We start from the raw sequence: 24,080 nt of genomic DNA, 5'->3' as shown, positions 1-24,080 counted from the left end.
ATATTATTTTTGACGTGGCTAATAAAAACGCAAAATTCACAAATTAACATTTTATTTTTTAAAGGATTGCTTCCCTCTTAAAATCTCAGGTGTCCTACTCAAAAGACTAGCGGCCAGAAGGGTTATGAAATCTAAAATATTAAAATAATTGTCATTATATCACTTCCGTTTGTGAAAAAGTGTGTGTGCATGCATGTGTGCATGCGTGTGTGTGCGCGCGTGTGTGTGCGCGTGTGTGTGCACGTCTGTGTGTAAGTGTATTTTACAAGTGGACATAACCTTACACACAACAAGGTTAAAAAAAACACCCCTGGGCTGCGTCAGGCCAAGCCGGGAGAGAAAGCCCCGCCTGAAAGGGCCTGGAGGCCCCAGCCTGTCACTCTTGCCACATCAGTGGAGTGTATGGTTGCAAATTCTGTTACTCAAGGCCCGAGGGCGGGGATTGGAGTAATATCCAATCAGAGTGTCGGAATGAGAACTGCCCAATCAGGCCCGCAGCCAGAGAGGAGGGGTTGGCTTCCGGGATCTGGCGCGGCGTTTTCCTCTGGCTCCTGCGAGGGCTTGGTTTAGGGCTTCGGCTCTCTGCGTTCTCGGCTCCGGGAGGCCTCGGTGATTCAGCCACAGCCTCTGCCTCCCGTTGCTCTGTGACCTGAGGGTATTGGACAATTTGTAGCTAAGACTCCCGGATACCCTGAAGTCGGGAAATGGTGAGTGTGCGGGGCAGGGCGTCCGGAGGCTGGGGAGGCCTCATCGGAACCGGCGGGAAATGGCGGCGGCGGGACCGAGTCTGCGAACGGAGTCCCCGCTGCCGCCTCTCAGCCCTCAGTCCCCTCCGGTGACGGACCGGGCTCCTGTCGGTCCCCGCACGGCGGCTCTGGCCCAGCCTGCGGCCCTCCTTGTGCAGTTCTGCGCCCGCAGCCCCGCACCTTCCCTGGGCCGTGGGGTGAGGAGGAGCTCATCTGGAAGACGCCGGCGCCCGCGTGCGAGGTGCCCGCCTGGGAGGAGCTGTGGTCCGGGGGTCCGGTCCCTACTTTACCCTGTTCGGAATGAGATCGAGGCCCCATCGAAACAAAGTTCATGTGAGCAAACGGGGTCTCATTAATGGGACAGCGTCGGCCGCGGCTCCTGGTTTGGGGACTGCCAGCGGGTCTTGAAGGAAAGGCTTTTGTGAGGTGTGTGAGCAAGCGAAGCAAATCACCCGCCCGCTCCAACTATTCCACCAGTCCCTTTGCCCTGTGCACCTCCTCCGCGTGGCTGTTCCTGAGTAACATCTTTTAGAATACGCTGGTGTCGGTGCGCACGGCGCTTCTCAGTTCTGTGAGTAGTTCTGCCACATTGCTGAACTTGAGGGTGTGGGCGCCCCTGGTTTGTAGACAGGCGTTCAGAAATGAAGACGGGTGTCCAGAGGCAGGGACTGGCGTCTGCAGCGGGAGCAGTTGTGGGAAGAGCGCTGAGCTTGTGGGGTCTGCGCTGACTCTGGGTGGTGTCGTTAGTGAGTTGCTGGACACCGCGTTGGGGTTGGAGCATTGACTGGTGTTGAGGAAACTCCGCACGTTTTCTGTCAGAAGAAAGACATGGCTGAGCCTGGGCTGGAGAAAGATGCCTGGTGTCTGCGGGAGGCGCGGCCGGGTTCTGCATATGTGCTGTCCCGCTGGGCACTGTCCTTTTCCTCCAGGTCTCCTTCCGGGGAGAGAGGGGACCCAGAACAAAGAGGAAAGGAGTTCTGAGAAACATCCCTTCCCTGCACCCTGCTGCCAGCCCCCACCCAATGCTAGTCCACTCCTGAGCACGCCCACCGGGCATTCGCATTGCCCCACTCTTCCCAGTACGGGATTCCACCTCAGGAATTGTGCCCATGGCAGCTTTGCGCCTAGCGTTTTCTGCCAAAAACACACGCAGTGCCCAGAAGTCTCCTGGCTCATCTCAACCGCAGACCGGATCTACAGCAGGAACCTGCTTCCTTCACCCACCCAGGCTTCCGGACCACCTGATCCTAATCCCTTCTGTCTTTGTAGACATGGAATCAGAGCGTAGCCCTGCCTCGGCCTGTACCTGTGGCACAAACCAGTGCTTTAGTCAGTCCTGCTCTGCTCCCACTCATGGCTTTTTTTTTTGAGATGGCGTCTTGCTCTGTTGCCCAGGCTGGAGTGCAGTGGCGTGATCTCGGCTTACTGCAAGCTCCGCCTCCCAGGTTCACGCCATTCTCCTAACTCAGTCTCCCGAGTAGCTGGGATTACAGGCGCCCGCCACCATGCCTGGCTAATTTTTTTTTTTTTGTATTTTTAGTAGAGACGGGGTTTCACCGTGTTAGCCAGGATGGTCTGGATCTCCTGACCTTGAGCCCTCCCGCCTCGGCCTGCCAAAGTGCTGGGATTACAGGCGTGAGCCACCGCGCCCGGCCTCCCACCCATGGCTGTTGATAGCTCCTTTCTCTTCTGCTTTTTCCTTCCCCACAAATTCTCTTTTCTGTGTACACGGTGTGCCCAAGTCCATCCCTCAGGTGCCTATGAGAATTCAGACGTTAGTGAGTTCGAAACCAGGCCTTTTGGCCTGGCTGTTGTAGGAGCAAACACAAATTAGAAGAGGCTTAATGCTTTCTCTTTAGAACGAGGGAAGAATTTTTGCTCTTCTCCTTTTTCTTAAAGCATTTAGTTTGAGAACTTTTATATTTAAATATTTTCTCTGCTTCTTTGAAATATATGTAAATCATTTTTATCAGTTAAATAGGTCATTTGTCTTTTTTGGCTCAAAATTGTCTTCTTCTGGGACCTGGGAACTATTGCTTTGAAATGTAAATAGCAAGAATATACACCCTATTTCACAGTTTCTGTAGGGGACTAGGAGGCTGCCTTCAGCAGGTACCTAGCTCCACATTGCAAATCTACATCCTGTCACGAAGATGTGGATGTTTATTTTTTCTTTAATGATTAGAAAAAATTAGAAAACCCAGATGACCTCTCAAATTACATGATGAAATTATAATAAATTGTGTATGACAAATGGTGCTTTCAAGGCTTCTACTTGAGAACTAATTATGGTGACTTTCTGTGTTTGCATTTTCTTAGATTGCTTGTGATGCACATCATATTTTGGTTTAATTATACAACAAAACATTTTCTTGCAGTTCTGTTACTGTGGAGACTTTTTTAGGATTGCAGATGATTTTGCTTTTAGTTATATTTTCCACACACTGTCCAGAATTACCAGATGTTATACACAAAATGTCGAGCAGACTTCACTTGAGAAAACATTCTTTCTCAGGATTCCAGTCACAACCTGCAATTGTGCGGCAAAGTGCAGCAAAGTATTTCCTAAATCTGCAAACAGAATGGTCTCTCTCTTGGCATCTACAGTCCTTTCTAGAGCAGTTAAATTTCTACAAAAATAACTTTTCAGGACAGCAGTCAGTTATTTCACCGCCTTCAGTGCTCCTGGCATCTTCCGTTCTGACACTGATTTCAGAGATATGGGGCCCATAAACCTAACCAGATTCACACATACGCATCGATTAAACCTGAGAAATTCTGCTCCCTCCCACCTCCCCTTGCCCACATGCCCACAAACATTTGGCATGGGCCACATTGTGGCCCACAAACATAGCTCACCAGCCCTCCAAGACCTAAATGTGCAGTTCCAAATTCTGAATTTATGTCCTGAGATTTGATAAAAGAACTTTTATTTGAGAAATACAAGTTTTTAGATTTATCAGACCCAGAGATGTGTTAAAATGAGACCACACTCACATACTGTTCTCCTCCTTGAACTATTTGTCTTTTGAAATTGCTTGCTATTGCCACAAGTGGCTGTAAATTAACCTAATAATGCCACACTGGACACTATGACCCATACCCTATAGCTTAACTATGTATATGGCCAATCACTAACCAATGTTACTTCTATAAACCAATAAGAATTTCTGACACCTTTCTATCAATCTCCTCTCTGACTTCCTTTTTGCCTGTAAAAATATGCTTGTAACTGCTTCTAATTGGAGTGTATATTCAGGGCAACTTTATACTCCAGGATTGCAGTCTTCAAGCTTTGGCTCAAATAAACTCTCTACTTATGTTTACCCCAGCTTTTTCCCTTTAGCTCAAAATATTCTTTAGAATATGTTGAAGGAGGCTTCATGAGAAGGTCTTTCCTCTGATTTTACTCTGTTTCCTGTAACTCAAGAATGCAGCACACATTGATCTCACCTAGAATCTGCACATAAAAGCTGGCTTCTGCCCAGGATTCACAAGACAGGGCCAGACTTTGGGTTGAAGAGATACAGAAAAGTCACAGAAGGTGTTTTCTGCATCATGAGAGGTCAGCATAGACATAAGCCCCACTTTCAGAGTGGAGCCCTTTGAGTTTTCCAGATCTTGTCCAGTGACCTGCTACAGCTGAGTAAGAGGCTTCTGGTGTGAACACAATACTGTGGCAGAATCTGTAAGTGTAAACAAGCACCTTAGCAGTGGGAAGTCAAGGCCACTAAATATCCAGAGCCATAATGCCAACTATGCCTCCCTGTGTTACTGGAGTAGAGTACTTTTTTCCTTCGCCTACCTCAGAGTTAGCTGATCAGGGACAGGGGATATCACATCCAGATCCAGGATCTGCATCTCCATCAGGGCAGTTCCATTTTCTGTTTGCACCCCAGAAAGTCAGCCTGAGTCTCCTGCCTGGATCACTATGGGGGCATCAGCCCAGGGTCACTGGGGACACTCTCAGCAGCATCAGTGAGTATTTGAGACATTTGAGGATGTCCTGTGCAGACTGGGTCAGTGTTTCATATGGACATTAGAAAAAGAGATGAAATAGTCGTGGTCCCTACCATCAAGGAACTTGCATTCTAGAGCACATTAATAAATGATTGAATTCAGCGTCATGTATTCAGTACAAAGATGAAAACTGTACAGGAGACTTAAGCTTCGTTTGGGTTACTTCCCTTTTATTGTTTTGTGAGTTTTGATACCACCACCTGCATGGCTGTTTATGGACAGAAGAGAAGTCATTATTTGTATTGTTTTTGCCTTGCTAAGAATAAATATTTAACTTCAAATATAATTGGTCTGGAAAAACAAAAGGGTTTTGGTTAAATTCCTTGTTATTGTATGTTATAGATGGGGAAGTGGCAAAATAGATAAAAATTTCACAAACTCTGGGAATCAAATTTCTTTTGGGCAGGCTTAGAAAAGACAAAACTGAAACTACTTAGTGGCCTAGAGAGCAGAAGCCTAGGGCCCATTTTCTGTCCCAACTTTGCCCAGATCCCCCCTCTACTGAACCTTGTCCAGGTCTGACCCCACACTGAAATACCTCACAGAACTGCTTAGAGAAGATCAGAGTTTGGAGTAGCTATTCCTACTGCCTCTCCAGAGCTGGTGCTCCCAATTTCCTGAAACACAAAAGCTGATAAATGGAGAAAGGCAATGTACTTTGAATTTAATGTACTTAAATTATTTTATGTAAAATTAAAACCAGTATTTCTAGAGACATCCCATCCAGCAACCTGTTCTCCATCTTTGCAGTTTCAGTGGATTTTTCACAAGTCTCAAAGTAACTATAAACACAAAAATAAAAAATTCCCGAATTGTACTTAAAACTTTCTTCTGTGTCTCTCCCATTTATCTACATTGAGCTATTATTCTATATATTTTTTAAAAATCAATGATAGGAAAACAGAAGAAAAAATAGAAATGCTGGGCCCTGCATTTAAATCCTGGGAAGTATCACACACTTTGTACCCACCTCCCAGGATGCTGTGAGAATTAACACACATAATGTGAGCTTCCCAGCACAGTGCTCTGTGACATACTCCTGAGCACATAGTACATGCTCCACAAATATCGCATTAATGCATGTGGATGTGCTGTTTTTCAAATGCAGACTTACTCAGACATTGCCACCATCTCCAGCCTCTGTAACCTTTAAAGGGCTTGCAGATAATGCCACGTTTCAGGATGTTGATTGCTGGTCTTGTCTTCGGATGAAAAGTATTTGTGTTGTGATAAGGGTGTTGGGGTAAGGGACTCTGCGTGCTGTGTCTGCTTTCTCTAGCTGAGTGGTACTATAACGGGTCTAGGAGGAGCATGAGCATTAATGGGAGACTTGGCTATAAAAAGCTGATTAATGGACCCTTTTCAAACCTGCAGAATTTTGTTACTTACAGTGAGGCCTAGAATACCAAATTTATGTGCACATTGAAGCTTGAGAGGCAATGTTTAGCTAAGTGACTCTCAGCCCAGTCTTCCAGTAGGATCACATGGCAGTTTGAAGAGAAACAGTCACCTGTTCCCTCCCCACAGATCCTGTTAAGTTTCTTGTGTGACATTACAGTGAGGCCAGGGTCAAGCATGAGGGCTTCCAGTTACTTTAATGAGACGTGAGTTCACCCTTTGTTCAAGGAGGTCACAGGACCTGCTTTGCTTGGTTTTGGTAGGGACAGATCAGTGTAGCCCATATTTCCATTGCAGCAACAAAAATTGCTGGCATGCCCTCCTTTTTCTTCAGAATTATACAATACTTTAGATAACATTACTGTGTTAAAAGTTATTTTATCAGATAATTCCAGTCAGCCCCATAAGTCACAACTAGTTCTCTGATTTCACTTATAGTCAAATTAAGAACTCTGTGACATGATAAATATGTGTTTTCAGGAACTCGTAACATTCAGGGATGTGGCCATAGAATTCTCCCCTGAAGAGTGGAAATGTCTGGACCCTGCCCAGCAGAATTTGTATAGAGATGTGATGTTGGAGAACTACAGGAACCTGGTCTCCCTGGGTGAGGATAACTTCAATACATAATTCCTAATACTTCCTCAGAGTTTCATTTTCTTTCTTTGCAGAATGTCTCTTGGGTGCTTCTGCTTTGCATTAATTAATTTCAGTGCCTTTCTACAAGAAAAAAATTGGGATTTGCTGGTGTAAAAAGAAAATCTTTAGGATGTTTCATCATTGCATAAACCATCTCTTTTCTTGAGCTAATTTTTGTCCTTCACTCTAGGATAGTAGTAATTCTAGAAATTCAGTGATGTAAAATATTGTTTTCCACATCTAAAATCTAATTTGCACCACTTATTTTTGATTCAGTAGTACTGGGTAGTGGAACTTAGAACCCACAGATTTAAAATATTTCAGTATTCTAAAGATTCTGTCAGGAAACAATTTTTGGATTAATTTTCTGGAGTCTTCCATAATTTCTTTATTCTACTTAGCATAGTAATAGATTGGTCATTGGAGTATCCCCAGCAATAGTCATGTTAATTTTTTTTTAATAAAACAGGTTTTGTGATCTCTAACCCAGACCTGGTCACCTGTCTGGAGCAAATAAAAGAGCCCTGCAATTTGAAGATACATGAGACAGCAGCCAAACCCCCAGGTAGGTGAGACTGAATGAAGGAGAGGACACAGGCTAGGAGGCCAGAGGTCAGGAAGGAAGCCAGGCCTTCAAATGTAGTCTGGGAAACTGCGCCAATAAAAATAATTTCCGAAAAGGCTGCATTTTTTCTCTTATTCACAAATAGGGTCATCTTCTGTCCCATGCTCTTAAATCTTCTAAGAATTTCCTTTTTTTCTTCAGTGATCTCCAAGTTTACAAGGAGAGCCAATGTCCACTTTATCGCTTATAATGGGCTGCATAATCTGACTGCTGTTCCATTGCTTTTAGTGACATAGGAGTATTTGTATTATTGAGGACCTCTATGTTAAAGTATTTTTTCAAATATTATTTTCGCATCATGCCTAAAATACGTAAGGTGAGTAGTGGACATAATGGGATTTTGTTTAGAAATCTTAGGAACACCGAGGACAGATGTTGCATCTTTTCTGCTTAGTGATTTTTTTTTAATTATACTTTAAGTTTTAGGGTACATGTGCACAATGTGCAGGTTAGTGACATACGTATACATGTGCCATGCTGGTGTGCATCACCCTGCTTAGTGATTTTTAATCCTGTAGAGGTTGCAAATGTAATTCTACAAAAACTCTTACTCAGCAATTTTATCAGAACAATAAGCGTTTTTCCAAATATGAAAAAATATGTTATTTTACTTCAAAATGTTATTTTGTATAAACTGAAATTTGTAATTTGAACTCTATATATATTCAAATTTTCAAATTACAATATAGTTTACAGCACAGGTTTTCAAACTCTTGGCTTCCCTGGGCCACATTGGAAGAAGATTTGTCTTGGGACACACTTAAAATTATAAAATACACAAACAGTAATGATAGCCGATGAGCTAAGAAACAAGAAATAGGTTTGTGAATAATTTTTTTGATACCCATCACCACAGATAAGCAAAAACGTCCTCACACTCAAAGGATTGGATACCACTGGTTTAAAGTATCTACTCACCTTCTAGATTTCTTTCTTTTTTCTTTTTTTTTTTTTTTGAGACGGAGTCTTGCTCTGTCACCAAGGCTGGAGTGCAGTGGCGTGACCTCGGCTCACTGCAACCTCTGCTGCCCTGCAGCCTCCACCTCCCGGGTTCAAATGGTTCTTCTGCCTCAGCCTCCTGAGTAGCTGGGATTACAGGTGCCCGCCATGGGGTTTCACCATGTTGGCCAGGCAGGTTTTGAACTCCTGACCTCAAGTGATCCGCCCACCTCTGCCTTCCAAAGTGCTAGAATTACAGGCCTGAGCCACCGTGCCTGGCCCGCCTTCTAGATTTCTTAAATGCACTATGTCATTAACCGGCTTAGAACATTCCTAAGTGTATATTAAGCTCTCAATTGTTACCTTATTTCTTGATAAACTATTATCTTATAATTTTGTCTTATTTAGTAGGAAGCCTCCTGGGATTCTGTCATTGAGCTATAATCTATCTATATGTAGAACTGTGTGTCACACACACATACACATACCTATATGAGTCATATATGTGTATAGGAAATTCTCGCTTAACATCATTGATAGGTTCTTGGAAACTGTAAGTAAAGCAACATATTGTTTAAGAAAACTAATTTTACCAGAGTTTAATAAATAAAAACAAGTTATGTTTGAATGGCATGTAACAACATTGTTTCATTTAAAGATGCAGTTTTCAAGAATCTATTTTGAACATTAAATGAGGACTTAACATACATCTGTGTTTGTGTGATACGGATTTTTCTGATAAAATTATATAACTATATTTAATTTGTACAATGTAATGATTTGATATGCATATACATTTTGAAACAAAATGTCAAGTTGATGAACACATTTATTACCTCACATAGATAACCATTTTTTTTTTGTCACAAGAACACTTGAGGTCTACTGTTGTAGCAAATTGTAAGCATACTTTACAGTATTACTATAAAGACAATGCTATTTTGCTAATCTAATGCTAATGTACATTAGCTTTCTCAGACTTACTCAACTTACAACTAATCATTTGTACTCTTTGAACAGCATCTCCTCATATTCCCACCCTCAGGCACTAACAACCACCATTCTACTCTCTGTTCCTATGAGTTTACATTTTTAGATTCCTCATCTAACTGAGAACATGCAGTTTCTTTGTGTTTGGCTTATTTCACTTAGCGTAATGTCTTCAAGGTCTATCAATGCTGTAAATGGCTAGATTTCCTTCTCTTTTATGGCTGAATAGTATTCTACTGTGTGTGTATATATATAAATTTTTTTGGCTATTTTAAGCAAAACTAAAATGAACATGGGGCTGAAGATTGTTCTTTGAGGTACTAATTTTATTTCCTTTGGTAGTATTCCCAGAGGTGGTATTGCTGAATTATGTGATACTTTCATTTTTATTTTTTACTGATTTGTATGATGACTTTATCAATTTATATCTCACTAGTGGCATACAGGATTTCCCTTGTATGTATGTCTTCTTTGTGGGAAAAACAAAACTAACCTTTTGCCTATTTTTGAATAGGTTATCATCATTATTGTTTTGCTTTGAATTGCAGAAGTTTCTTACACATTTTGGATATTAACTATCAGATATATGGCTTGCAAATATTTTTCTATTGTGTAGGATTTTTTAAAATTTTGGTTTTTTCCTTTACTGTACAGAAGCTGTACACTTTGATGCAGTCCCACTCTTTTGTATTTTCTTCTGTTGCTGTGCTTTTGATGACATACCAAATTGCCAAGACCAATATCAACAAGGTTTTTCCATATGTTTTATTCAGGAGTTTTAAGCTTTTATGTCTTACATTTAAGTCTTTTATTTTGAGTTAATTTTGGGGTATGGTATAAGAAAATTTTATTTATGGTATAGTCTAATTTTATTCTTTTGCTTGTGGATATCCAGTTTTTCTGGTACCATGTATTGACAAGACTATACTTTCTGCATTGTATATTATTGGTGGCCTTGTCAAAGATTAGTTGACCTTGTATGCATGGATATGTTTCTGGGCTCCCTATTCTGTTGCATTGGTTTTTGTATCTGTTTTTATGCACATACTATACTCTTTTGATTACCATGACCTTTAAGTAAAGTTTGAAATTAGAAAGTATGATGTCCCCAGCTTTGTTCTTTCTCAAGATTGCTCAGGTTATTTTAAGTTATTTAAGATAACACTTAAATTTTACAATTGTGTTTTCTATTACTGTGAAAAATGCCACTCAAATTTTGATAGGGATGACATTGAATCTCCATATCACTTTGGATAATATTCCTTGACAATATTAGTTATCCTAATGGAATATGTTTTCATTTATTTTTACCTACTTCAATTTCTGTCATCAATATCTTAACTGTGTTAGTGTATACATTTTTATCTCATCCTTTACATTTTAAAATTTATTTTATTTATGTACTTATTTTATGAGACAGAGTCTCACTCTGTTCCCTAGGCTGAAGTACAGTGGCACAATCTCAGCTCACTGCAACCCCCGCCTCTCAGGTTCAAGCGATTCTCCTGCCTCAGCCTCCCGAGTAGCTGGGATTACAGGCACGCACCACCATGCCTGGCTAATTTTTTTGTATTTTTAGTGGAGATGGGGTTTTGTGACCCAGCAGCACCCTTGTGACCCAGCTATGACCTTTCTTCTCAGCAACCCCAGAGGTAATCTTATCAGCCTGGGGACCCAATAAAAGGAGATCTTTACTTGCCAAAGATAGTTTTTTTTAGTGGAGATGGGGTTTTGCCATAGTTTATAGAAACTGTTAAGAGTTGTTAGATCCTTCAAATATACAGACATGGGGCTGTTTCAGGGACCAAAGCTGAGGCCAAGATCCACAAGCATGCCTCCAGGGCCACAGCTTCTACCTTAACATATTACTGAAAGTTTGTATCAGAACAATTAGACAAGGAAAATAACAAAGCTTTCCAGCTTGGAATAAAAGTAAAAATGTTACTGTTTGTAGATAATATAATTATGCGTATATACAAAACCCTAGAGTGAAACAACAAAAACTGAACTAATAAATGCATTCATTAAGGTATCAGGATACATGACCAACATAAAAATACTTGTGGGGTTTTTTTGTTTGTTTGAGATAGGGTCTCACTCTGTTGCCCAGGCTCATCTCAAACTCCTGTGCTCAAGTGATCCACCTTCCTTGGCCTCTAGCCTCTGAAAGTGTGCAGGGACTACAGAAATGAGGCACTGCACCTGACCCTACATACAAATATTTGTTGCATTTCCATATAGTAACAACAAACTTTCCAAAAAAGAGAGAAAGTTTCCAATTGCAATAGTATAAAAATAAGGAACTTAATCAAAATAAATGTAAAGTGACCAAGCATAGTGGCTCACACCTGTAATGCCAGCACATTGGGATGCCAAGGTGGGGAGATCACTTGAGGCCAGGAGTTCCAGACTAGCCTGGCCATTGTGTCACAAGGGTGCTGCTAGGTCTGTTGTTTAAATGGCATATAGCGGCATTGTTTCATTTAAAGATGCAGTTTTCAAGAACCTATTTTGAACATTAAGTGAGAACTTACCATACATCTGTGTTTGAGTGATATGGGGTCTGCCTTTGATGGTTGTATTACCAGAGATTTGGATAGTCATGGATTCTTTCTGGGCCATGGAAAGATTAAATATCCTTGAGGACATTAATCTATATGGCAGGCAGTAGGGTAGGGTTTTACAGTTTGTCTGCATATGATGGCCCAAATACCATGTGTATGAATGGGATTGGCTTCTACTAACTACCTGGGAACAGGTTTCACAAGTCTCCATGTGGGTCCCTGAGTGTGTACAACTGGCCATGGACTGTGGCTGTGAGAGCTAGAACTGAGTCACAGGGCTGCTTCAAGGAGCACAGTTGAGGCCAAGATCTGCAGGCCTGCCTCCAGGGCCATGGCTGGGTGTGTTTCCCTGCAGGTCACTTGATGGGAAGGACCACTTTTGGACTATAGCTGAAGGAGTTTGAGAGAGGTTGCAGAACTGCTTTGTAATCTTCAGTAAGACCAAGCTCGGTGCCCCATTTCCTTGTCTGTAGCCATGTCTGTGGGCCCTTGAGTTGGCCACCTGGGTGAGGGCCTGCTTTTCCCAAATAACCCTTTTTGATCTTTGGCACCACTGAGGTTTCACAACCCTAACCATAGGCAAGCACCTTTCTACTTCCGTTTTCCAGGAGTTTACTATTTAAAATATCTTATATACATGGAATCATACACTGTCACTTTGTTGGTGTCTTATCTCACTTAAAATAATGGCTTTAAGATTTATCCTTATTGTAGCATCTGACAAGATATTTTCATTTGATGCTAAAGAATATTTCATTGTATGTATAAGCCACATCTTTTTAAATCATTCATCTATTGAAGGGTGTTTGAGTTTTTTCACTTTTTGGCTTTTGTAAGTGATATAGTTTGGATCTGGGTCCCCATTCAAATCTCATGTCAAGTTGCAGTCCCTAGTGTTGGAGGTGGGCCTGGTGGGAGGTGATGGGATCGTAGGGTTGGCTTCTCACGAATGGTTTAGCAGCAGCCCCTTTGGTACTGTCTTTGCCATAGTGAGTGACTTCTTCTGAGATCTCATTTTTCAAAAGCATGTGGCACCTTCCCTCTCGTGCTCTCTTGTTCCTGCTCCCACCATGTGAGATGACTCTCTGTCCCTTTTCTTTCTGCCATGACTGGAAGCTTTTCAAGGCCTCCCCTAAAGCAGAAGCTGCTATGCTTGCCGTACAGCCTGCAGAACCATAAGCCAATTAAACCTCTTTTTAAAATAAATTACCAAGTCTCAGGAATTTTCTTATAGCACTGCAAGAATAAACTAATACAGTGAATATGGATGTGCAAATACTTCTTTCAGGTATACATTGCATACTTTAAATAGATGCTCAGAAGTGGAATTACTGGGTCATACAGTAACTTTATTTTTAATTTTTGGAGGAACCTCCATACATTTTTCAGGTGGCTGCATCACGTTTTTCCCACCAACAGTGTACAAGGGTTTCAATTTCTCTACATTGTTGACAATATATATTATTTTTTGTTTGCTTGATATTGGCCATCTTAATACACAGTAATACCTCATTGTGGTTTTTCTTTACATTTTTCTAAAGATTAGAATTTTTTTTTCAATAATTGTGTATTTCATCTTTGGAGAAACATTTTCATCTCTTGTCTATTAGTCATGTAAATTTTTGTTTTTTTTTTGGAGTTGTTCTGGATGTTATCTTCTGTCAAATATATGTATATTTTGGCTTTTCTGCTGCTTAGGTGGGACTCTTACTAAAACTTTAATGTGGAGAGATAAATTTAATGTAGTCTTACTTTTCTGTGCTTTTGAATTTTTTGCTCATGTGTTTGATGTTACATGCAAGAAAACATTGCTGGGATCAATGTCATAATCTTCCTATATTTTCTTCTAAAGATTGTATAATTATAATTCTTACATTTAAATATTTAACTCATTCAAGACAGTTTTTGTATATGGTTCAGGGGAAGGATCCAACCTCAGTTTTTTCATATGGATATAGAGTTTTCCAACACCATCTATTGAAGAGACTGTCTTTCTCTTATTGTGTGGTTATAGCAACATTGTTGAAGATCATTTGAACATATACACAGTGGTTGGTTTTTGAGTTCTGTGTTCTGTTCCATCATCTATTTGTCTTCTGGCAAGTACCACACTGTTTTTATTTAGCTTTGTTATCTGTTCTAAAAACAGGAAACGTTGTGCATGTAACTTTGTTCTTGTTTTCTAAGAATGTTTGGGCTATCAGTGGTCCTTTGAAATTCCATGTAAAAGTTAAGAATTGTAAAAAATACTTTTTCACAAAGTATTATTTTTATTTTCATTAGGCTTACGTTGAATTTGAATATCACTGTGTAGTATGGTCATTTAACAATATCAAATCAACTGACACAGATAAGAATATGTTCAAGAGTGTGTTGAGTTTCACAGGTTTTTGGATTTGGCAATTTTGCTTCTGCTTTTGATTTCCAGTTTTATTACAGGTGGTATGAAAGGATGTGTTGTATAATTCAGTGTTGTATGATGAGAACTACGCTCAATACTTTGATGACCAAATAATCTGTACAACAAACCTCCATGACAGAAGTTTGCCAGTATAAGAAACCTGCACATATACTCTGATCTTAAAGTTTAAAAAAAAAGGGTGGGGGGGTTGTTTTGCATTCTAACAGGTTGTCCATGAAACAACAGTTACTCATTTTCTTCTCCACTTAACCCCGACACAGTTTAGTCTTCTTTCTGTTTCTATGAGTTTAACTACTTTAGGTATCTTACATAAGTGGAATTATATCGTTTCTGTCCTTTTGTTCCTGGGCTTCTTCCACATAAATAAAGCCTTAAAAATGTATCCTTATTGTGGATTTAACAAAATTTTCTGCTTTTAAGAAGCTGAGTAATATTTAATTATTTATATATTTGAAATTGTCTTTATTCATTTATTTATTAAGAAAAGTTCTTTTCACTTACTTGCTTTTGTAGATAATGCTACCGTGAATATGGATGTGTAAATTACTCTTCATTTGATAATATATGCAAGGGACTATTTGTGTTCTTTATTCTGTTTCACTGGTATTTTAAAATTGAGTTATAAAGTATTTCAATTACTATAACTTTATAATAGGTGTTTAAAATCAGGAGGTATGGTGCTTATGATGTTGTTTCTCTTTTTGACAGTTGTTCAGCACTTCTGGTCTCTTCAGTTCTGATATGATTTTAGGATTGCTTCTTTTTTTTTTTTTGAGGCGGAGTGGAGTGCAGTGGCGCCATCTCGTTTCATTGCAAGTTCCGCCTCCCATGTTCACACCATTGTCCTGCCTCAGCCTCCCTAGTAGCTGGGACTACAGGTGCCCGCCACCACGCCCGGCTAATTTTTTGTATTTTAGTAGAGACGGGGTTTCACTGAGTTAGCCAGGATGGTCTCGATCTCCTGACCTCGTGATCCGCCCATTTCGGCCTCCCGAAGTGCTGGGATTACAGGTGTGAGCCACTGCACCACGTCAGGATTGCGTCTTATGTTAATGCGAAATATGCATAGCTGTCATACGAAGTATACCACCATTCCCTTCAGCACTCTACGTCAGAGGAGGCACGTCAGGGGAGACAAAATTCCTCTTCGGACAGTCCCTCAAAAGACAGGAATGTGGACATATATTCCACATTTCTCTTTGTCTCCTGAGGAAGAAGCATAGAGTTGGGAGTTTCTCCTGGATTGCACCATGCTGTATTGGGAGGAGGTCAGGCTGCGCTGGGCATATCTAATAAGCTTTTTCTTCTCTTCTACATGTTTTTGGCATTGTGCTCAACTGAAGTAGTACAAATTCTTAACTATGTTCAGGAATTCTCACAAAGGCAATGTGATCAGCGTGGTGTTAAGTTCATATATCTATGAAGAAACGAGGACCAGTGGTGTTTGTTTTTACGCTTTTCATTTTAAATTTATATTTTATTTATTATTTTAATTTTTGTGAGTACGTAGTACATATATGTATCTATGGATTATATCACTGATTTTGATGAAGGCATGAAATGCACAAAAATAACATCAGATAAATGGTTATTCATTGCCTCAACTATTTGTTCTTTATTTTACGAACAATCTAATAACATTCTTTTAGTTACTTAAAAATGTACAATTAAATTGCTTTGACTATAGTCACTCCCGACCAGAGAAAAACCCTGTAGACATTAGTCACTCCTCATTCTGTCTCAAACCCTCTCCCTGACCCTCAGCCCTAGGTAGCAACTACCTAGTGCGATCAATCCCATATGCATAGATTACCATATTGTGGACATTTCCTATAAGCGGAATTGCACAATAGGGGAGCTGTTATGACTGACATAACACGTAGCACAATATTTTCAAGATTCGTCCACATTGTAGGCTTACCCACAGGGGGAAACCATTTTTTTGGGGGCTTTTAGTAACACCGGTGTTTTCTCCTTCCTTACGTCCTTCTTTCCTTCCTTCCTTCCTTCCTTCCTTCCTTCCTTCCTTCCTTCCTGACTTCCTTCTTTCCTTCCCTCCTTCCTCCTATTTCTCTCTTACTCCTTCTGCCCTCTCTCTTTCCTATGCCTTAGGTGCATCCCACATTCTGCGTTTTTTTGGGGAAATCCTCGACAGGTGCAGGAAAATTGTGTTATTGTAACTATTTACCGTTATCTCTCTTTCACGGCTCTCCATCAGTTGTGAACATCTATTGGTTTATCCCAAGTCACTAAGCATATTTTCATTAGGTAAACCTGTTTTTCCTTATACAGCTGTTTCTGGAGTATAGGGTCGCATACTCATAAACCCAGTGTAACTCAGAAACGCATCTAATATTCCAGTAAACCCATCATAACGTTGAAAAATCGTAAATCAAACCATCATAAGTCACGGTTTGTCCGTGGATATGGGCGTCATCAATTCCATTGTATTCAGTAATGCTGTACACCATTAACAATGGCAGACTGATTGGGAGTGGATATTGATAGCATTATAAAAGTCAGTTATTAGAGGGATACTTCTTTAACCTGACTGAAGAACTGATCTAATGGCTTTAGTACAGTGCATGATTATGTGCGATGTTTTGAGACAGAGTAGTACATTTGTGAATGAAATTTTATGGCTTTTTTTTCACTTAGTAGGAACCATTGTGTGTGGAAAAGTGAGAAAATGGCTTTCTGCTGTAGGGTCTGGCATTCATTGTAGATGTAAGCTTATTTTTCTGTGAGCAAATCTTATTCAATAAAATACTACTCTTTATACTAAAAAACAAAAACAGTGGTGATGTGTGGTCATTACCCTCAGCAAACTTATCCAGGGAAAAGAAAACCAAACGCCACAACTCACTTATAATGGGAGCTGAAAAATGAGATCCCATGGACACAGGAAGGGGAACAACACACACTGGGGCCTTCCGGGAGACAGAGCGTTAAGAAAAACAGCTACTGCATGCTGGGCCTAATACCTAGGTGATGGGTTGACAGGTGCAGCAAACCACCATGGCACACGTTTACCTTAGTAACAAATCTGCACATCCTGCACATATACCCCAGAACTTAGGAACGAAACGAAACAAAAGACAACGAAAAAGCAATAGCAAAACGCTAAAGGCAAAATAAAGTTTCAAACTGAGAAAGTGACAGACCAACGTCTGGTTCAAATCATGGTTCTCAACCCAGGTGCCATAAGGTCAGGATAAAGGATGTGATTACATATTGTCGATAAGACATGCAGCAAATGACCAGAATGATTATTCTCAACATATGTGTGTCTTCTAATACAATGGTGACGCTAACTACCGGGACATAGCATTAGATTCCAAAGGGCCGAGTCCCGCCAGACAGGCCTCCCACACTAATAACAATGGGAAGCCCTACGTTGCTTTACCTGTGCTTCTCAGCCACTGGCTATAAATCAGGTTGCCACCACTCCCAGATTTAGTTGCATTCATTTGCTGGAAGAGCTCACAGCACGCAGGGAAACACTTACATTTGCCATTGTATTTTAGCGGACATTGCACAAAGTTCAGAAATAAATGTGGGGCCCGGCATGTGGGGAGGGGCGCACTACCTTCCAGGAAGTGTTATCCAGAAGCTCTCTGAACCCAGTCCTTTTGGGTTATGATGGAGACCTCATTCTATAGGCATGATGGGTTAAACCATAGGCTATTGGTGATCAAAACCACCTGGGGCTCTCCACCCTCCCTGGAAATTGGGGTTGAGGCTTTGCCATTCTCAGTCTGACTAAAAGAATTTACCCAAACGGAATTTTAAAACAGATGAGCATAACTGGAATCTTAATTAGATGATTGGATTATCTGGAGCCACACCTTGATATTCCTAACCCGAGCACCCTCATCCAACGAATGCTCCACCCAACTGGCTCCCAAGTCTCTACGTGGTCCCAGAGCAAAAGGATGTTGATACAACGCATATCTCCACCTTTTCTTCAAAGTCTTTTCGCTTACACGGAAAGACTTCTTCAACTGCCATGCATCAGGGTCAGGGGGAGGTCTTGTTACAACACAGATCTGCGGATCTCCGGCGTTTGACTGTGGCAAGGATGCTGCTGGTGTCAAAACCACAACGTGGGAACCACAGAACCACTAGTGGGTTTTCAGTGTTTCAGTGCATACAATTCCTAATATTTCTGGCCAAGAAAACTTGTAAGTTCTTAGATTGTCCCAAAGGTGGCGCATGAAATCAAAGCAGGAGAACAGTTTCCTACGAGGTGTAGCCTGGGAAAGTTGGGGGTGACTGATGGAAAGGAGGAGTGAAGCTCCGCCCTTTCCGCTGCTAGGCTGCGCCCGAGGCTATTTAAACCCACCCTGGCTGGCCTGTACTCAGATCTTCGCGGAGCGGATCAGCGGCCGGAGCGTTTGGCGGACTCTGCGTGGACTTGGAGCTCACAGCGTCTTGCGACTTGGAAGCGGATTCAGAGGACAGGACAGAACACTTGGGCAAGTGAATCTCTGTCTGTCTGTCTGTCTGTCTGTCTGTCTCATTGGTTGGTTGATTTCCATTTTCTTAAGGGGCACATACCTCACACCGCACACACACAAACACACACACGCGCACACACACACACACGCACACACACGCACACACACTCCTTCCTTCTGCGAGTTAGTACATTAGTAGGGGCCCCTGGGAGCTGCAGGTTTCCTAATCATGTCTGCACCTAAGAACAGTAGGGTCTTGTGTGGCTCTTCTTATGAACGGTCCCCCAGCCCGAACTCGCCAAGGTCCATGCGAGCCTCACCCAGCTTCTCCCTCTCCCCTCTCAGAAACTCAGGCTTAAGGGGAAGCTCCTCACCAGGGATCCGGAGCTACCATTCACCATCCCCTAGGGCTTCACCACACTCACCTCTGTCATCACCAGAATCCCACAAGCTCCCATTTCCCTGTCCTCACCGTGATGGGCAATCAATGAAGCCATTGGGCTCTCCCGTGTCCTCCTCTGAGGATTCCTCAGAGTCCCCACGTTCATCAATAATATACCACATGTTCTTACTGCCATCACCCAGCAGCTCACCCCCAGCTCTCGGGGGGTCTCCTGTGTCTCCCAGCTACTCTCCAAACAACGCCAGATTTCAGCTGGAGTCAGCCCCCCACACCCAGGAATCACCTACAAACTCACGAGCCTCACGGTGCTCCACCCCCGTGTCTTTCATCTCTTCACCCCCAGGCCTCAGGGACTCTCCTGTGGCTCCCAGTTACTCTCCAGCCATCCCCAGGTTCCTGCGGGAGTCAGCCCCATGCACCCAGGAGTCCCCCAGAGACTCACAGGTCTCGGGAGAAAGTGAGCGGTCCCCCAGCCCTGACTCCTCAAGATTCATGCCTGCCTCACCCAGCTTCTCCCTCTCCCCTCCCAGAAACTCAGACCCAAGGGGCAGCTCCTCACCAGGGATGTGGAAGTCCTCTACATCATCCCGCAGGGCTTCAGCACTCTCACATCCGTCATCAACAGAATTCCACAACTTTACGTTTCCCTTTCCTAACCAAGCAGGACAGTCACTCATGTCATTGTGTTCTCCCGTGACCTCCTCTGGAGATTCTTCACAGTCACCTCATTCATCAATAATATACCATATGTTCTTACTGCCATCATCCAGCAGCTCACCCCCAGCCACCCATGACTCTCCTGTCTGTCCCAGCTACTCTCCAACTACGCCCAGATTTCAGCGGGAGTCTGTACCCCACACCCCAGAAACACCTACAAACTCACAGACCTCAGTGAGATCCTCGCCAGTCTCTCTCACGTCTTCACCCCCAGCCCTTACGGACCCTCCAGTCTGTCCCAGCTACTCTCCAACCACGCCCACATTTCAGCGCGGGTCAGTTCCAGGATCGAAGGGATCACCACCAAGCCCACCGCTTTCACTGAGTTACTCCCCAGTCTCTAGCACGTCTTTATCTCCAACCCTCAGGGACTCGCCTGTCTGTCCCAGCCACTCTCCAAACACGCCCACACTTCAGCGGGAGTCCGTTGCAGGCACCCAGAAGTCACCACCAAACTCACCAATTTCACTGCGTTACTCCCCAGTCTCTCTCATGTCTTCACCATCCCTCAGGGACTCTCCCGTCTGTCCCAGCTACTCTCCAACCACGCCCACATTTCAGCTGGAGTCAGTTCCAGGCACCCCGGAATCACCACCAAACTCACCAATTTCACTCAGTTACTCCTCAGTCTCTAGCACGTCTTTATCTCCAACCCTCAGGGACTCTCCTGTGTGTCCCAGCTACTCTCCAACCACGCCCACACTTCAGCGGGAGTCAGTTCCAGGCACCCAGGAATCACCACCAAACTCACCAATTTCACTCAATTACTCTCCAGTCTCTCTCGTGTCTTCACCAGCCCTCAGGGACTCTCCTGTCTGTCCCAGTTACTCTCCAACCACGCCCACATTTCAGCTGGAGTCAGTTCCAGGCACCCCGGAGTCACCACCAAACTCACCAGTTTCACTCAGTTACTCCCCGGTCTCTCTCATGTCTTCACCCCCAGCCCTCAGGGACTCTCCTGTGTGTCCCAGCTACTCTCCAACCATGCCCAGATTTCAGCGGGAGTCTGTTCCAGGCACCCATGTATCACCACCAAACTCAGCAGTTTCACTGAGTTACTCCCCAGTCTCTCTCATGTCTTCACCCCCAGACCCCTGGGACTCTCCTGTCTGTCCCAGCTACTCTCCCACCACGCCCAGATTTCAGCGGGAGTCAGCCTCCCACACTCCAGAATCAGATACAGACTCACAGACTTCACTGAGCTCCTCCCTGGTCTCTCTCAGGTCTTTGCCCTCATCCCACAGGGACTCTTGTGTCTCTTTCAGCTACTCTCAAAACTTCTCTAGATTCCAGCTGGAGTCAGTTCCAGGCACCCACGATACACCACCGAACTCACGAATTTCACTGACTTACTCCCCAGTCTCCCTCATGTTCTCACCCCCAGCCCTCAGGGACTCTTCTGTCTCTCTCAGCTACTCTCCAACCATCTCCAGATTTCACCTGGAGTCAGCTTCCCACACCCTGGAATCACCTGCAAACTCACGGACCTTACTGCAACCATCCCCCATTTCTTTCAACTCTTCACCCCCTGCCTTCAGGGACTCTCCTGGGTCTCCCAGCTTCTCTCCAGCCTTCCCCAGATTTCTGCCACAGTCAGCCCCAGGCACCCAGGACAACCCTAGACACTCACAGGCCTCACCAGACTATCTCCCTATGACCTGTACCTATACAGGGATGGCTCCCACGCATCCCTCAGTGACCCCAAACCCATCTCCACTTACACTCAGGCACTCCCAGGGCCTGACAGCTACTCCCCGTTATTGTCCTTCAGTTCGAAGCCCTGGCCAATCTATTAGCCCACATGACGCAGTTACCTGGCCATTTCTCCACGGTTCCCGGGAGGGCCCCACACCCAGCCGCACAAGAGCCCCTCCTGCATTCCGTCCTCACACGCAGGCCTGTCCATCTACTTGCTACTGTCACACTCTTGCCAGCAGAAGAGGCCCCTGTAATGGCCGATATCACCACCCAGTCTATCCTCACCCCACAGCTGTGCAGCGGGAACCCCCTGCTGGCCCACGTGGCTGCCACAGCCCATGCTGGCACGACGCTCCAGCAGGTCGGCGTTCCTGCGGGCCAAACTACCGGTGACGTGTCTAGCGTGACCCTCCTTCCTGGCAGTGACACTGTTGATGTGAACCCCAATTTCACATCTGTCGTTTGTAAATAGGACCATTTTCCCTTTTCGCTCTCCCTTCCATTCACAGGGCTTTTCATTCTCTCTGTTACTGCCTCCGTTTCAGATATTTACTCACCTTTTTCTCTCTCACTTTGTCTGCCATGGGCTCTATGAGAGTGCGCCACATAAGATTCCCCAATTAAAAGTCGTGAATTGAGTGGCTTTTAGTATACCTGTGGTTGTGCACATTCAAATTTAATTCGCAATTCATTGTAGAACGTCTTATCACTCCCGGCCAGAGAAAAACCCTGTAGACATTAGTCACTCCTCATTCTGTCTCAAACCCTCTCCCTGACCCTCAGCCCTAGGTAGCAACTACCTAGTGCGATCAATCCCATATGCATAGATTACCATATTGTGGACATTTCCTATAAGCGGAATTGCACAATAGGTGAGCTGTTATGACTGACATAACACGTAGCACAATATTTTCAAGATTCGTCCACATTGTAGGCTTACCCACAGGGGGAAACCATTTTTTTGGGGGCTTTTAGTAACACCGGTGTTTTCTCCTTCCTTACGTCCTTCTTTCCTTCCTTCCTTCCTTCCTTCCTTCCTGACTTCCTTCTTTCCTTCCCTCCTTCCTCCTATTTCTCTCTTACTCCTTCTGCCCTCTCTCTTTCCTATGCCTTAGGTGCATCCCACATTCTGCGTTTCTTTGGGGAAATCCTCGACAGGTGCAGGAAAATTGTGTTATTGTAACTATTTACCGTTATCTCTCTTTCACGGCTCTCCATCAGTTGTGAACATCTATTGGTTTATCCCAAGTCACTAAGCATATTTTCATTAGGTAAACCTGTTTTTCCTTATACAGCTGTTTCTGGAGTATAGGGTCGCATACTCATAAACCCAGTGTAACTCAGAAACGCATCTAATATTCCAGTAAACCCATCATAACGTTGAAAAATCGTAAATCAAACCATCATAAGTCACGGTTTGTCCGTGGATATGGGCGTCATCAATTCCATTGTATTCAGTAATGCTGTACACCATTAACAATGGCAGACTGATTGGGAGTGGATATTGATAGCATTATAAAAGTCAGTTATTAGAGGGATACTTCTTTAACCTGACTGAAGAACTGATCTAATGGCTTTAGTACAGTGCATGATTATGTGCGATGTTTTGAGACAGAGTAGTACATTTGTGAATGAAATTTTATGGCTTTTTTTTCACTTAGTAGGAACCATTGTGTGTGGAAAAGTGAGAAAATGGCTTTCTGCTGTAGGGTCTGGCATTCATTGTAGATGTAAGCTTATTTTTCTGTGAGCAAATCTTATTCAATAAAATACTACTCTTTATACTAAAAAACAAAAACAGTGGTGATGTGTGGTCATTACCCTCAGCAAACTTATCCAGGGAAAAGAAAACCAAACGCCACAACTCACTTATAATGGGAGCTGAAAAATGAGATCCCATGGACACAGGAAGGGGAACAACACACACTGGGGCCTTCCGGGAGACAGAGCGTTAAGAAAAACAGCTACTGCATGCTGGGCCTAATACCTAGGTGATGGGTTGACAGGTGCAGCAAACCACCATGGCACACGTTTACCTTAGTAACAAATCTGCACATCCTGCACATATACCCCAGAACTTAGGAACGAAACGAAACAAAAGACAACGAAAAAGCAATAGCAAAACGCTAAAGGCAAAATAAAGTTTCAAACTGAGAAAGTGACAGACCAACGTCTGGTTCAAATCATGGTTCTCAACCCAGGTGCCATAAGGTCAGGATAAAGGATGTGATTACATATTGTCGATAAGACATGCAGCAAATGACCAGAATGATTATTCTCAACATATGTGTGTCTTCTAATTCAATGGTGACGCTATCTACCGGGACATAGCATTAGATTCCAAAGGGCCGAGTCCCGCCAGACAGGCCTCCCACACTAATAACAATGGGAAGCCCTACGTTGCTTTACCTGTGCTTCTCAGCCACTGGCTATAAATCAGGTTGCCACCACTCCCAGAT

At 43.2% G+C, this 24,080-nt stretch overlaps 1 protein-coding gene and 1 pseudogene across 3 annotated transcripts; one reads left to right on the top strand and one right to left on the bottom strand.

Annotated features, from left to right (window-relative positions):
* The first annotated feature begins 429 nt into the window (after window positions 1–429).
* LOC112268317 (extensin-like) lies at window positions 430–23,419 on the top strand. Of its 3 annotated transcripts, none has more exons than XM_047442804.1 (4): window positions 430–707; window positions 6,645–6,771; window positions 7,273–7,368; window positions 15,052–23,419. In XM_047442804.1, exon 4 carries the CDS (start codon window positions 19,033–19,035, stop codon window positions 22,012–22,014), a length of 2,982 nt encoding a protein of 993 aa, XP_047298760.1. In that variant the 5' UTR covers window positions 430–707; window positions 6,645–6,771; window positions 7,273–7,368; window positions 15,052–19,032; the 3' UTR covers window positions 22,015–23,419. The 3 variants fall into 3 exon arrangements, with proteins under 3 accessions (XP_047298760.1, XP_047298761.1, XP_047298762.1); XM_047442805.1 differs by having other exon boundaries at window positions 527–1,317; XM_047442806.1 differs by lacking the exons at window positions 430–707; window positions 6,645–6,771; window positions 7,273–7,368 and adding an exon at window positions 8,509–8,526 and having other exon boundaries at window positions 18,709–23,419.
* LOC124905333 (uncharacterized) lies at window positions 674–1,295 on the bottom strand (annotated as a pseudogene).
* Window positions 23,420–24,080: the final 661 nt, after the last annotated feature.

The sequence above is a fragment of the Homo sapiens genome, unplaced genomic scaffold (genome assembly GCF_000001405.40).
Source record: "Homo sapiens unplaced genomic scaffold, GRCh38.p14 Primary Assembly HSCHRUN_RANDOM_CTG21".
Classification (NCBI taxonomy): Eukaryota; Metazoa; Chordata; class Mammalia; order Primates; family Hominidae; genus Homo; species Homo sapiens.
The sequence above is the reverse complement of the archived record's forward strand: the minus strand, read 5'-3'. Positions and strand labels throughout refer to the sequence as shown.

Excerpts from the sequence above, each read along its gene's own strand:
- LOC112268317 (XM_047442804.1), top strand. The coding sequence starts at position 19,033 with ATGTCTGCACCTAAGAACAGTAGGGTCTTGTGTGGCTCTTCTTATGAA.